Here is a 16,446-nt window from a genome sequence, read left to right on the forward strand (position 1 = left end):
TCAAAACTTTGATGAGATTAAAACATTTTGTTCCACTTCTGGGGTCTCAGTGTTGAACAATTTTAGCCTCTTTAAGATGAAAATACTTTTCTTGAGGTTTTTAATTTTTTTTTTAACTTCAATATCTTTTGGGGTACAAGTTTTCTTTTTTTTACATGGGTGAGTTACATAGGTGAATTCTGAGATTTTAGTGAACCAGTCAGCCAAGTAGTGTTTATTGTACCCAATATGTAGTTTTTTATCCCACAACCCACTCCCAATTTTCCCACTTGGAGTCTTCAGGGTCCATTATATCACTCTGTATGCTTTTGCATACTCACAGCTTAGCTCCCACTTATAAGTGAGAACATACAGTATTTGAGTTTCCATTCCTGAGTGACTTCATTTAGAATAATGGCCTCTGGCTTCTTCCAAGTTGCTAGTAAAAACATTTTTACGTTGCTTTCTGTGGGTGAGTAATATTCCATAGTATATATATACCACATTTCCTTTATCCATTCATGGGTCGATAGGCACTTAGGGTGGTTCCATATCCTTGTAATTGTGAATTGTGCTGCTATAAACATACCTGTGCACATGTCTTTTTCATATAATGACTGGATAAAAGTACTTTAAAACAACTAATGATTCCAACATTATTTCCAGTGGTACTGGTAATGCATTCAGGCAGAAATTTTTTTTTACTCCTGGATTTTTATCTGAACTAATGCACTTTTTGTATGCCAATTGCCAATTAAAGTTTCTGATTTTTTGCATTGCCCCTGAGATATTTTATAGCCTTGGGCAAAAAAGTGTACTCTTCCAGACCACAAAGATAAATGGAGAAAATAGTGCCTTTCCTTAATTTATGGCGCTGTTGTAATCATTTAATGTGTGCAACATGCTAAATGTTGTCATTATGGTACAGTATTGGATTTCTTTGTTGTATTACGGAGCAGAACATTCAATAATAATAAGATAGAACAGCTTTTTCTAACAACTTGTGTTCAAGCCACTGATAATAATGAAATTATGCCAGATGAACTTATTCTCCAACCTCTTCCTGAAGAGTCAGTGGGATACAAAATGTTTGAGTGAGGAAAAGCATTAATGGACAGAAGGAAAGTGTAGTCATTACTCTGGGGAATGACATAGTTGAACAACTGAACATGCTTTTCAGAAATGATTACACTCATAACTATCAGTTGTACTAGTTCGGCCTTGAAAATACAGTAGCTATCCCATTTTACAACATAATGTATAGTTATGTCATATAATTTTACTGGAATCTTCTAATGTAAGTTCCCATTGTTAGCAGTGAAAGAAACAGCTGGTCACAAGTACATTGTTTGAAAGAGCAAGATGAAATAGAAATTTTTTATAAGAGATGCATTCCTGTAATGTAGATGGTGAATCAAAGTCTTTAGAGTAAGAGTTTTATTGCAATAATTTATTATAAACATTATATTATAATGTCTTTAGTTCACTACTATAATATCCTTGGTTCTTTGAGAAATCCTCTCCCTCCCACTATTCAATAAAAATATCTGATGCACTTTTTCAGGGCTTATGAAAACAATAAATATTGTGACAAATGACTGTTATCATGTCTATGGCGTCTCATTTGAGTACAGATTCTTTTGGCGCAGAACAAACAGGGCCAATGACTTAACATTAGGCTTAATCAGTTATCCTAGAAATTTAATATTGAATAATTCTTTAACTTTGGGTAATAGTTAATCATAGCTACTAGGCATTTTTTTTTAACATCTGTTCTTTCAGGGAAAAAAAAAAAAAAGAAAACATCATATAATCAGGTCTTCCTGAAATTCTGTTCAATGTGTTTCTGCCTAATTCTCCTCCAGGACTCTGTTTGTTTCTTTAATGACCAAGATTTCTTTTAGATGAGTATTAAATTCTTTGAGTTTGTAACGCAACACTTGCAAATATTTCGCTAGAAATTTATACACACACATCTGTCATTTTATTCTACAAATTGATGTTTTCTCATTCTATAACATAAGGAACTCAGTATTTAAAGTTCAAAGCAATCACCACTTTAACAAACTCTTGAGCTTGTAGTTGAAAGTTCACACACATTTTACAGAAGAGAAACACAGCTAGAGAAAAGAGCCTAATCATATAGTCAGTAACTTAGATTCATGATGACTATTCTGTCTTGAATTAAATAAGCTACCCTTATTTGAATAGTTTGGGGGACATCTAACTAGTATGTTTTTAATGTATATTTTCATTAACATTTCAGATTACTCATTCATTCACTAACATTTTTGGTACATGTGCCATGTACACTATTCTAGATATGTGGGGTTTTTTAGTGGTTAAAATTGTCAGGTTAGAAGCCAGATATTATTTATTAGGAATTTACTTCAGCTCTCCATTTTGTAATTTCCTTGTGTCTGAGAAATTGTATCTACTTTGTAGGGTTTTTGTGGGTATCAAATACATAAAAACATATGTAAAGAATAAAATGAAGCCTGAGCCATGTTATGGTATCAAATCCTAGATACTATTAATTACTGTATTCTCATTTAATCCTCACAATAAGCCTGTTGGGTAATTATTATTATTCTCATTTTGCAAGGAGCCATGCTATCCTAAATTATACGTCTAAGAAATTCCAGAATTCAGATGAACTCTTAGAATAGTCCGAATTTCAAAATCATGTTCTTTCCATTACATTGATGACAGGACATTTCAGGCAAAATAAATATTGTGAGCATAAGCATATTGGTGTTGAAATCAGAATGTTTCATGGTGGTCTACTGAGAATTTACCCCTCTTGATTTTAGAGTTGTGGGTAGGTAATGTTGAATAGTTGGATGGCCAGTTTAAAGACAATCTGAAAAGACAGGCATTATAATAGGAATTTGCTGAGGTTGACATTTGAAGACATTGATTATATTTAGGTATGTCTTAAGATGGCAGGAAAAGATAAATCTGTTTGGAAGGGGACAAGATTAGCAAGACAAGTGAGGATGATTTTGTAGGAATCTAGGTGTGAGGTCACACAGCCAGACTAAAATGGTGTCGGTTAATAAAACCATGTCCAGAAAACCATAGATATTTATAAGAAACAAATGATACGTTGATAGACTATAATAGGTGAATAAGGGGAAAGAGTACCTTACTTTCTGACTTGAGAGATTGGCCTCCTTCACCTAGTAAATAAATCAAAATGGAATACATGCTATGTGTCTGCCCTTGTGTTTAGCACCATGCAGTAAGTGGTAGAACTAGAACTTGAACTCTGGGGTGTTTTGCATGAAGGTCCTTACTCTCAATTTCACTATACTGCCTCCAACCTATGAGTGCCATTTAGCTATTTTGATTCTCATTCTACAGATGAGGAGAATAGGGCTCAAAGATGCCTCAGGTTGTCTTAACAACAGAGTTATCAGTTGTAAAATTCAGAACCTTCGAAATCTTGTTTTGTACTTCATTATTATTGAATTCTTTTATAGTTCTTTTAGCATAAGTGTGAGTCTCTATGAAAAATTATTTTATTTACTTGAGGTTATGCTGTGCCTCATATGTTTGATGACACATTGGTTCTATTTGCTCTGTGTGTGCGCCTGTGTGTATGTTATATACCTAGGCTTGAGCAGGGCAGGGGAGGCAAAATTTCCTCATTGTCCAGAGTGGAACCTCTCAGTCTTTCAAAGGAGACTCCTGCATTGGGCATTGGAGATGTCTTATGCTTTTTGCCTTTGCTACACACTTCTGATCCCGGAGAAACGATTTTCATTCTCCAGCAATGATTTAAAAAATAATTTATCACAAAAATTAAATAGATTGCACTGTAAAAATCATATAATTACTCCTGTAAAACTACAGATGAAAGCATGCACAGAAAATTATAGTGGAAAGTTTTTAATTAGCTTCTGATTAACTGTAAGCTTATGTTTTAAATGTACCATGCAGAACCTTATAACAAGTAGGCATAAATTAAATAGTCACTAATATGTATGTAGCAAAAATATTAATACGGCTGCTACTAGGGATTTTCACTGGCATATTTTTAATTTTTTTTTTTTTTACTTTAAAGTGGAGTAGATTCTGTAGAGTTGGGGTATCAATCACATGATCATTAAAAGGGCAAAATATTTTTTCAAAACTTGTGCAATAATCTTTACCTAACTGGCTATGTGGTTGGTGATTTGTTCCTCTCTTAAAGAGCGAACAGGCGCTCTTTCAAATGGAGATGCTTACATGATTTCATGTATATTCTTAGTTTTCATGGGAGACCTATCCCTTCAGTAGAAGGAAATGCTAGCTTTAGGTCACAGCAAAACTAAGCTTTATTTTTCCCATTTTGTCTAGTCTATGTTTCACATGTTAAAGTTGTGAATTGGACACTTAATTTGAGTGAGAGTCAGGGTATTTTTCAAACTATATTTAGTGACTTTAACTTGCTGAGTGACCTAGGACAAGTCATCTAAGCTCTCTGGGCCTTAGTGTTCTAACTGGTAAAATTAGAAGGTTAAATTAAATGATCTTTTTACCTAGTGTCAAATCAAAAGAATCACATTTCTATATTAATTGTATTTTTAAGGTTGTTGGTACCTAGGTTCTTTTAATAATATCTTGGAAATAAAACATTATTATATTCTTTAAAATGTACATATAACAATTGTACATATTTATGGTATGTACCATATTTATGGCAAAATGTGATGTTTTGATAAATGTATAAATTTTGTAATGATCAAATCAGGGTAATTAACATAGCCATGACTTTAACATTTATAGTTTCTTTATGATGAGAATATTAAAAAAGTCTCTTCTAGCTATTTTAAAATATGGAATACATTATTGTATTATATATCATAGTAGTCATCCTGCTGTGCAATAGACTACCAGACCTTATCCCTCCTATCTTACTGTAGATTTGTACTCGTTGACAAATATCTCTACAAGTGTTTTTCACAAAGAAGCCCCTCAGTATTCTGACATGAGGAAAAGCAACGAACTTGCTTTCCATTTATGCAAATTAGATTGTTAACTTCCTATGCAACTAGGAATACTTAACAGTACTTAACAATATTTATATTGTTCCTTTGGACATAAGTATGGCTATGATTGCCCCCACCTCCCAAAAAAACAACAAAAAGGAATCATAGGAAACAATTTTTAAACTTATTTTCAATTTTTTTTATTATTGATTAAATAAAAGCACAACTTAACAAAATATAGGCAGTCTTGTACTTTATATACAATGATCCTTCTGGGGAGACATGGAAATTCATCTGTCTTCCTCAAGCCAAGTGGGACTGTTCTGTCCTAGGAGAAGGGATTTTTAAGGAGTGGGGAAGGAAGGGGAAAAAAAGGAAATCTTTTCCTTATTGTCACCACTGCTTACCCTTTTCAAAGAAGTATCTTCGGTTCTTAGAAATCCCATGCCCAGGGTGAAAATGGAGAGAAAGAAAACACAGGAAGAAGAGAGTATATATAGAGAGGGAGGCCAGGGAACTAGGAGAACAGAATGAGAGGCAAGGTAATCTCTCTCACCCTTTTAGGAAAGGACTCTCATTGCCTGTGCTCCTTCTTTACCTGACAAGCTGCAGTTGCCCCTACCTCTACTGTTGCTTTTGTTCCTCTGTAATAAAGAGGTAGAGAAGAAGGGAAGAAGAACAGCTGAAAAGCAGAGAAAGGAAAGAAGAGTTGGCAGTGAAAGGCAAACTCATAGATTGCCTTAAAACTTCCATGGCTGCCACTTCTGGCCCCCTGTCCCCACTGCTTCATCACCATGGGCTGAAGCTAGCATTTAAAGGGGGAGGAAAAGAGAGAGGAATCTGAAGACAGGAAGCTCTAGTCTCTTTCAGTATCCACTGTGTTCTTCATCTACCCACCCCCTCCCCTCATCTGACACCTTGCCTAGGACAAGGGCTCTTAACCCCTGAGCTTCCAATAGTCCCTAAATAAGCTGTACAATGTTTTTTACTCTGTGAAATTGTAGGTAGAGTTTGGGTGTCTTTGGGGCGGGGAGGGTTCATAGAGTTTCTCCGATTTTTAGATACACCCAGCATAACCTAACTCACCTGTGCTTTTTAATATTCTTCTTTGGCTTCCATAGGCTCTTCTGAAAACCTAACCACTATATGCACAAAGTTCTTACCATTGGAAAACACCTTTAAATGATACACAGAGAAAGTTTCCAGAAAAATCATTTCAAGGTTGGAGAAAACCTATTATACTTTTTTAAATAAAATAGGAAATAATAAGCTGGATTGAGGTAATATATATTTGGCTCCTACTCACACAAAAATTTTGAAAAAGAAAAAAAATGTTTAATTTATTTTTTAATTATTCATTTGTAATCACGAAATATCTGAACTAAATATTTGAATCTCTGCAAAGGCTGGGAGTTGCTATGTGTTGTTGGGACCACACTACTCTCATATCCTGTGTAAATACCCCATGACTGAGTAAATATTATCATGCAATTTTAGAATTAGAAGTTTAGATGTTTTGACCTAAATGTTTTCCAGGGTTAAAATATCCTTCTTACAGAACAGTGATCCTCATAAGTTTAAACAGACTGGAAACAATAAAGCCTAAAAAGAAAATCATGCACATCAACAATTTTCTTTCTATCTTTCAACTTTAATTTTCACCCTTATAGCCCTAAACCACTAATTTGAAAAGATTTTTCTAAAAGTTCATCTTTCTAATATATCATAATATTTCTTTTTTTCTGGCCCTGGAAGAGATTGAGTACTCCGTATTTTTTAAATATATAATGGATATATTATAAATACTAGAAATGAGTACAATACTATTATTTAATTTTGTGCCAATTTCATGAATGAGGAAACTAGATATTGAGCAAAGTGCAAAGATAGACATTACAGTCCTGACCTCTGGTAAGTATTTCAGAATTGTCACTTTCAAAAGGTAATTCAAGAACACTGTATTTATGTATCTCTCAATAAGTTCACTATTTGCCTCTCCTATAGAAACATGGTAGTTGTTGTGTGAACCATTATCCAAAGCAAAGTTAGATCAATACTACTGAAGTAAATAAATTGAAAACTATATTAAAACTGAAAAATGTGGTTGTGAGGACATGCAAGAAAAACAATGTGGTGCTACTAGCCTGGAATTGGTATGAATAAGCCCTTTAAAAAAGAAAAAATGAATCCTTAATCTTTATGCCTTAGTATCTTACAATTCTCCATTAACCTTTGATAAAACCATCATATTGGGCACAAAAGAAACACAGTCAATGAATTTTTCTTGATATTCTTTTTTACAGGAAAAAAATCAAACAATGTGATTCATTATAAAACCTATGGTCAGAATCAATAATCTATGCCTTCATATCATGCCTGTTTAGATAATAATTATTAAGCCACCATTTAAAATTTTTTAAACTCAAATTCCATCTGCAAAAAATCTATTTTGCTTTTAAAACTTAATATTAGGTTTCAACTTTACTTTCTGTCATCCTTCTTTTGGTTGCCACATCAGTAGACTCAGAATAAAAGCATCTGCCCAAAGCAAATACACTGGAGTTCACTGTCAAACAGAGATTCCCAAGAAACCAAACAGAAAAGGAATAAAAATGAGAAGCATGTTTTATTAAATGTCTTCTACACCTGCTTCCTTTATCTTTTAGACCTGCTTACCAAAGCCCATTGGATATTTTGATTTTTTAAGTCACAGGCATATGAACTAGCTTGAACATTTATAGTATCAAATTATTAAAGGTAATGACCTGGTATTTAAAAAATGATGTTCCACATCTAGGGGATCTCCATGAAAGCTTTTCAGCTGAATAAAGGTTATAATTGTTAAACAAATTGGTTATTTATTAAGCTAGCACTATAAACAAAAAGAGTATTTAAACAGCTGGTATCCCTGTGACCCTACCTTTAATCTTCTCCAGAGAAAATGTGACAAGAAGTGATATTTAACAATAATTTTAGAAAATGTAATGAACACCAATTGATTATGTAACTTGCATTTTATTTTCAAAATTACATTAAAATAGTATGCAACTATTCATTTAAATGCATTTTAGAATTAAAATGAATTATTTTCACCTACAAAACTTATGTTTAAAAATGAGATAGTACTGTTTTATTATTGATCTACATTAAATTAGCAATATGTTAAAATTCATTTCTATATTGTAATGCTTGGAAAATTATAAATTTTTGAACTTTTTAAAGCTATGCTTGAAAGTTCAAGAGAGCCTTACTCAGTAATGAAAGTTAAACAAACAAATTAATAATACATAAACAAAAAGGTTGTTTATAACCAGTCCTGCACAATTTTAAATCTATGCAGTAGAGCAATGTATGATAATTTTAATAAACACACAATATATCAACACATTTTCATGGACACTATATTTTTAAATAGAAATTTAATTTTGGAATATTTTTAAATGTATAGAAAAGTTGTAAAACTAGTACAGAGTTTCCTTATACTTTATACCCACTTTCTTCTATATTAATATCATATTTATAGTACATTTATCACAATTGAGATAATATTGATATATTATTATCAACTAAAATTCATATTTTATTCAGTTTTCTTTTTTAGTTTTTACCTAATGTCCTTTTTCTGTGACATTTACATACCACTTTATGTTTAGTCATCGTGTCTCTAAGTTCTTGGCTGTCACAGTTGTTGAAACTTTACATTTTTAAAAATAATTTTGACAGTTTTGAGGGGTATTGGTCAGGTATTTACTAGAATGTCTTTTTATTTGAAATTGTCTGACATTTTTCTTATGATAATATTGGGATAACAGTCATTGGGTTTTGGGAGGAAAACAACAGAGGCAAAATGGCATTCTCATCACATTAAATCAAGGGTACTTACTGTTAACATGATTTACTACTGTCCTTGATCCCCTGGCTAAGTTGGTGTTGCCGTATTTCTCCACTATGAAGTTACGCTTCTTCCCTTTTTTCATTTTGTGGTCTTTAGAAGGAAGTCACTATGCAAAGCTCACACCTCATGTTCCAGAAGCTGCTTTTCCAAGGAGTGAATATTTATCCTCCACCCTTTTGAGTGTGGAGCATTTACTTAAATTGTTTGGATTTATGCTCTGCATGAGAGACTTATCTATTATCTTCCATTTTAAAATGTATTTAATCATCCTATCAGTATGGACTCATGAATATGGATATTATTTTATACTATGAATTATAGTCCATTACTACTCTATTTTGTTGCTCAAATAGTTTCAGACATTATCTTTTGAACTACTTATGGTTGGAAGTTCCTAGCACAATGCCAGAAACATAGTAGACGTTAATGGTAATTTAGTGTGAACCTAAACTTAAAAATATGCTCATGGGCCATTTTTTAATTTAAAAATAGAAAGTATATTCTATTAAGAGGTACTCGATCCCTAATTGCAAATCCCCACTTATATCCTTCGAAACAAAAAAAAAAAAAAGAGGAGACATGGTATATAATTTAGATATTGCCACAGTAATGTGGCATTGTATACAACCATGAAACTCAGCAGCAGACAACAATGAAAATGTATTTAGCTCATGAATCTATCAGGGTAAGCTGATCTGGGTTAAGTTTGGCTGACTTGGGCAGGGCTCACTCATATGTGTATATGGCAGAGGTGGAGTGGTCACAGGGGGAGTCATCTGGAGCTAGTAATGCCTCAGATGACATAAGTGGAGCAACTCAGCTCTGGTCCATGGTTGCCTCTCATCATGAAGCAGGACAGCCTGAGCTTGTTGTCATAGCGATGAGCAAAGGCAAGTAAGCAAAATGTGTAAGTGCTTTCTGCTTGTATCCCATTTGCTATCCTTACAGTGGCCAAAGGACAGCATAAGGTGAGCCCAAGTTCAAGAAGTGGGGAAATAGACTGTAACTCCGTGGTGCCAGAAACTGCAAAGTCACATGGCAAATATAGTGTCTACAGGAAAGGGTAAAGAATAGAGACCATTAAACCAATCAATCTACCATGCATTAACTATACAAAGGAACGAGTCTAAGCTCTCATGGGTGTGTGTTTATTATTTTTGAAATCAGTTTTCACCCTGTTTTTGTTATGAATTATGACAGTGAGTGGAAGTGCAGCATTATCATTAACTATGTCATATTTCAGAAGCCGTTCTTCCCAAACTGAGGACCAAATCATTTAAAAGTATGATAGTAATTTACTTTTCAATTCTGCACTCATTTTAGATTATAATGAAATCTTACTGAACAAATGCTTTTTAACAGAGTATGTTTCCAATATGAATGAAGATTTCATGCAGCAAAACTTGAGCTGTAATAATGAACAGGTCTGAAAAAACGAAAGAATAAGCTAAGCCTATAAATCTCTTCCATATACATTTATGACAGAATTAGACATATGAATACTCTATTCTTAGAGAATATTCAGTAAAGCATAAACTCTTACTTATAATGAGGTCTCCATGGAAATGCTCTTTCAAATAGAGTTATTGACAATTGCAAAATATACAACTTGCAAATTTTTCGTTTTAGGGTTTGTTTAAATTAAGCTTTAAGAATTCATGCATATCAAATCCTATTTTTTTCTGTAGAAAAATTCAAATAAAATCATCTGAAATAAGTCCCCTTTTTCTTAAAACATTTGAAAATAATGTATGAAATGTAATTAAACATAAACTTCAATGTTCATATCTCAAGTTCTAAATACAATCCTGGAAGAAGCAGTTTCTATTACACTTCCCATAGAAAACTGCTTATGTTTGAGGTAGCATTTTGTTTTGAAAAAGATGTGAGCTTCAGATCCTCCAGGAAGCTCTAGGTAGATATTCCGATTTTCTCTTTTGTAAAATTGGTTTAAAAGGTTTTTGTTTTTTTAATCTCTCTGATCCTCGGTTTCCTCATCTGTAAAAAGGAAGTAATCTGCCTGCCTCATATGGGTTTTAATGAGAATTAAGTGTTACATAAAATGTCAAACTTAGCACAGCGCTTCACACATAACAAACTCCTTACTAACTCCTTACTCCTGCCTTCCAAGATGTACACTTTTACATTTACTTACTTAGTACTCCACTCCAATAGTTTTCTTTTGCATAATAGAATGCAAAATGCATACTAGAAAGGAAATTGTCCTGCAGAGTTTCAGCAAAACAAATGACTGGCACAAACCAGTATGTTATTACAAGGATTTATATACACTCTTGTTCTAATCATATTCTGTGAAACGTAACAGGAGCATATATTAACCAGCTTCATATAACCAATTTTCCAAACTAATATCAACACTAAAAAGATTTTCAGGTATATTAAGCTGGAGAACTTTGTTCAGAAGACTTTAAGAAGTGGCCATATAGGAAAGCAATCAGGATTGCAAACATTAAACTTTAGCATAAATACCACTTGTTCCTCCTTTCAGAGACAATGAAAACTCTTGCTTATGGCTATAATAATCAGGCTACAAGGATTTCTAAGAACTGTTCTTAGTTTAATTTTTCTGCTATTGCCAGATGCTTTTCACCATTCTAGGTGCCCAAATCCTGAAGCCAAATTTAATAAAGGAGAAACAGGCCTAATTGATAAATGGATGTTCAGTATGCGTTTTCCAGTCAGAACTTGCCTTGGCTTAGTGGAACATTCTGGTAGTTCAGGCAAAAAGTGTTTCACTACAAGATCCTGAACACTATATTGCATAGAATATTTGAAAACCAGTGATGTCCAAGTCACTAAATTCTTCCTTTACTTCTTTCGGATGGGACTAAAGAGAAGGAGTAGCTTGACCTTGCTTCTATCACCTTAAGAAATATATGCACACTCTCAAACAAGCTGATACACTGAACACTGGATTATAGACAGTGCATTTAAATTTTGTAATGGATATCTGATGAACTAGTCAGAGGGATTGAATCTACCAATTAAAGTCTGTCCCACTGCAAAAATAGTCCTCCTGGGTCTGTTGCCAGGAAGAAGACTGAGTAATTAAGATCAATGCAGTTTTTTTTTGTATTCTGATGTCCATCCCCCAAAACATCACTTATTTCATTGTCCCACCAAGGGGGATATAGGAAAGGGCTTTCTATCACCTTAAGAAATATATGCACACTCTCAGACAAGCTGATATACTGAACACTGGATTATAGACAGTGCATTTAAATTTTGTAATGGATATCTGATGAACTAGTCAGAGGGATTGAATCTACCAATTAAAGTCTATCCCACTGCAAAAACAGTCCTCCTGGGTCTGTTGCCAGGAAGAAAACTGAGTAATTAAGATCAATGCAGTTGTTTTTTTGTATTCTGATGTCCATCCCCCAAAACATCACTTATTTCATTGTCCCACTAAGGGGGATATAGGAAAGGGCTTAATTATAAGACTGGTCAGAAAATATAAGACAAAGGTATCCTTGACATTAAGAATTTCATGATTCATAACAACTTTAAAATATTGTCTATTCTCCATATGAAGTGACTTTCCCTTTTAAATTATTTGGTATTTATGGAACTAATAATGTGTTGTGCTAACACAGAGCTTTTCATCCAAGAACTTCAAAGCACTCTTTATTTGTCACATTCTGTGATCATTTAGTTTGACTATAAAATATTTTATGATTAATATTGGAGCGAGAAAACATGCAGGAAAACAAAGTATAATATTGGGGGAAATTTCAAATACATAAGATTTCATCCTGACTAATTATCTCAGTTTTCTGTAGCCCATGGTAAATTAGGATGAAATATGCTTGCACTTAAAACTTAGCTTTGCTAACATCTGTTTCTTTTAAATTAGATTTTAATTTAAAATGGCTTGTCCTTACTTCAAAAATATGAGATTATTTTTCCTCCGATTTTGAGTTTTTCACTAAAAATCTTATATATTAATATATATAAATGTATTCTACATTGGCCTTTTTATCCTCTTGGGCAATTACTAAAGTAATTCATAGACCTGTTCTTACTGGTAAGTAGGGATAAATTAAATTGTCAGGACACTAAAGTAACATTAGATAAATTATGTTTCACTGACTTAAAGACAGTTAATTCTCTAGAAATGAAGCAGTTTATTTCTTAACTCATGGGTAAGTTTATATTGGAATTTTGAAGGTGCTCGTGAAATCATTGTTTAAATGAGGTCTTATTTAGTTGAGCACCTAATGAAATTTCTTGCCATTTCTCCCAGTGATTATACATGTATATGTAAACTGTCAACCAGTTTCTTCATGTGAAACGCATCCTAAACTTAATATTTTAAAATCCTTATATATGTGATTTAAGAGCAAGCCTCTGGAGAGAAACTGTTGTATGAAAATAAGTAAAATCATTGTTTGGCTTGCTATATTATAGTCTTTGCCTATGCTACTAATCAATGATATGGCATCAGGCAATTCCTTAACTTTCTTCAACTGTAAAACAAGGGCATACAGGTTAATGACTCCTCAGGTCATTTTAGGCTTCTATATGATTTAATACATGATCACTTTCTAAAATATGTATTTTTTTATCTGTTTCTAAACCATGCTTATGGTTGTTTACTACTGACAAAAATATAAGATTAATTATAACTGATGTCATACCTATAGTCAGCAGTGCTGAAGCAACCAGTGACAAGTCATACAACAAAAAACGTGTCTCCTAGAGCTGTTAACAGTAAAATAAAATCCACTCTTACTGCTTCTGAATTTAAATCCGAGTACTTTCCTGAGTAAATAAAAGGAGGACACAAACCCTGCTGGACGTTTCTGAGAGCACATTATGACTGTCACTATTTTCTTTCCATTGCTATCATATGACTCAATGTCAGCACAGTGCTATTCATTTTTACTCTTTATAGGGCCATAAGTAATTGATAAAATGGTATTGGAAGATTCATTTGTTATAATTCTTTTAGTAGCAAGTAATAAGATGCTATCTCAAACTAGATTACATAAAAATGAAATTTATTGGGTCACATAAAACTTAGAAATAATGGGGTAGGACTGGCTGCAGGCCTAGAATCCAGAGCCTATATGATGCCAAAATGCACATCTTACCATTGCTTCACTTGTGTATTAGTCCATTTTTATGCTGTTGATAAAGACATACCCAAACCTGGGAAGAAAAAGAGGTTTTTTTTTGTTTGTTTGTTTGTTTTTTTTTGAGACGGAGTCTCGCTCTGTCGCCCAGGCTGGAGTGCAGTGGCGCGATCTCGGCTCACTGCAAGCTCCGCCTCCCGGGTTCACGCCATTCTCCTGCCTCAGCCTCCCGAAAAAGAGGTTTAATGGACTTAACAGTTCTACATAGCTGGGCAAGTCTCACAATCATGGTGGAAGGCAAGAAGGAGCAAGTCACATCTTACATGGATGGCGGCAGGCAAAGAGAGAGCTTGTGCTGAGAAACTCCCGTTTTTAAAACCATCAGATCTCATGAGACCCATTCACTGTCACAAGAACCAGCACAGGAAAGACCTGCCCCCATGATTCAATCATCTCCCACCAGGTCCTTCCCACAACACATGGGAATTATGGAAGCTACAAGATGAGATTTGGATGGGGACACAGAGCCAAACCATATTAGTTTGGTTTTCCCTTGTCTTGACTTCATTTGGACAACTTGTTGCCAGTGTATTTTAGGATGGCAGGGATTAAAATCCATCCATTCAACAACTTCAGTGTAAACAGTTTATTTTATTTTATTTATTTATTTATTTTTGAGACGGAGTCTCACTGTGTCGCCCAGGCTGGAGTGCAGTGGTGCGATCTTGGCTCACCACAAGCTCTGCCATTCTCCTGCCTCAGCCTCCCGAGTAGCTGGGACTATAGGTGCCTGCCACCACACCCGGCTAATTTTTTGTATTTTTAGTAGAGATGGGGTTTCACCGTATTAGCCAGGATGGTCTTGATCTCCTGACCTCGTGATCTACCCGCCTCAGCCTCCCAAAGTGCTGGGATTACAGGCATGAGCCTGTATTTAATTTTTTTAAATTAATAGTTCTAGCAAAAGTTCTTCAACTGAGTCTTCTTAGTTTAGTGTAGCTCACATGTCCATCTAAATCAATCTTATGATTCAATAAGATGGACTCTTTCTTCTGGCCAAATTAAGCATGTGCACATCTCTTGAGCTGGTCAGGGTTGGAGTGGGGAATGAAGTCAACTTTCCTGAACTGCATAAACTGAGTACTGGGGAGGAGTGATGATGCAATGACAGTCAGGGTGCTATTCCCAGAAGGGTGAATGACTGCTAGGTTATCACAAGCAATAGATATCCACTACAAACAAAAGTCAAAGAGGAAGAAAAAGAGAGTCAGAAAGGGAAGGACCATTCTTTCAACAACTGTATTTGAAGTGTTACCATGTGTCCTGTACACTGAGAATACAGATGTGAACAAAACAGACAAAAAATTCTTGTGTCCTTATGTAACTCTTAATCTGGTGGGAGAGACAGTGTATATGTTGACCTCTGGCAAAAATATTGGTGTAAAACACTTCATCATGTGGGAATTATTTGGATTCAAATATTAGGTCTAAGACTGGATTTGCTTGGTTAATTTCTCACTTTCATCCTCTGTAATTTTGAGGAGCTCAAAGTTGCTAAAGTTTTTTTATTTTACTTACAACTGATTGTTGCCTATAACAGAAATATCTAAAAATGTAATTATATATTTTTAAACCGATATCATCTATTATAAGTAATTATTTGCTTTGATTATTTTTCCTATACCTTTTGGAGAAATCTTTAGCTGTTTTTTTATAAGCCTTTCCCAATTTCTGAAATACTATATGTTTCTATGACAATAATAGGACTTCATGGCAAAAATGAGACTAAAACATTAGGACATTTCATCCACAATAATTAATAAGGAAGACAAGCTGAATGCATAAAGATATTCTGATTAATTCAACTATATTACATGAACCCTTTGGTACATAGATGGTAGGGAAATCCAATTAGCTATAATATTTAAGAGACTGCTGTCCTAATACATATATCATCTTTCTAGGATAATAGCTTCTTCCTCTGATTGTACATTTTTTTTCCTCCAAAGGAAGAAAAAGAAAATAATCTAACGTGGAAAATTTTTCTTTTGAAATCTACCCCAAAATTTATTACAATAGTGTAAAACTCCTTTTAAAATTTTAAATGTATTCAAAATACCATACTTAAACTATTCTATACAAATTAGAAGCAATTTATTTTATAGCTATAAATAAGAAGAGATTCCTAAACTCTCATATTTTATAGTAGGAAAATGTATATTTTTATCAATCTTAAATTTAGGCCACATTTATATTTTAAAGGAAATGGTGTAGCCTAAACTCAAAGTTTATTTGTAAATAAATAAGTCTCTAAACAATCACTCCTATGATGTAAAATAAACTTGAAAGCAAGAATTTTCCCTCTGCTGCCCACTAATAGCCTTTGCTTTCTAAACCTTTAGTCATATCTGTCATGTCCTTTAAAAAGAATGTGATCTTCCTTAAAGTATGAGCTTGATAGTCCAATTATTGATCTTCTGCTACTGGGTATGATGGA

The 16,446-nt window shown here is 33.8% G+C and overlaps 1 protein-coding gene across 4 annotated transcripts in view; it reads left to right on the forward strand.

Annotated features, from left to right (window-relative positions):
• Positions 1-16,446, forward strand: part of ALCAM (activated leukocyte cell adhesion molecule) — a 209,992-nt gene that overhangs the window by 54,827 nt on the left and 138,719 nt on the right. The gene's annotated exons all lie outside the window — the stretch shown is intronic.

Source organism: Homo sapiens, chromosome 3, assembly GCF_000001405.40.
Source record: "Homo sapiens chromosome 3, GRCh38.p14 Primary Assembly".
Lineage (NCBI taxonomy): Eukaryota > Metazoa > Chordata > Mammalia > Primates > Hominidae > Homo > Homo sapiens.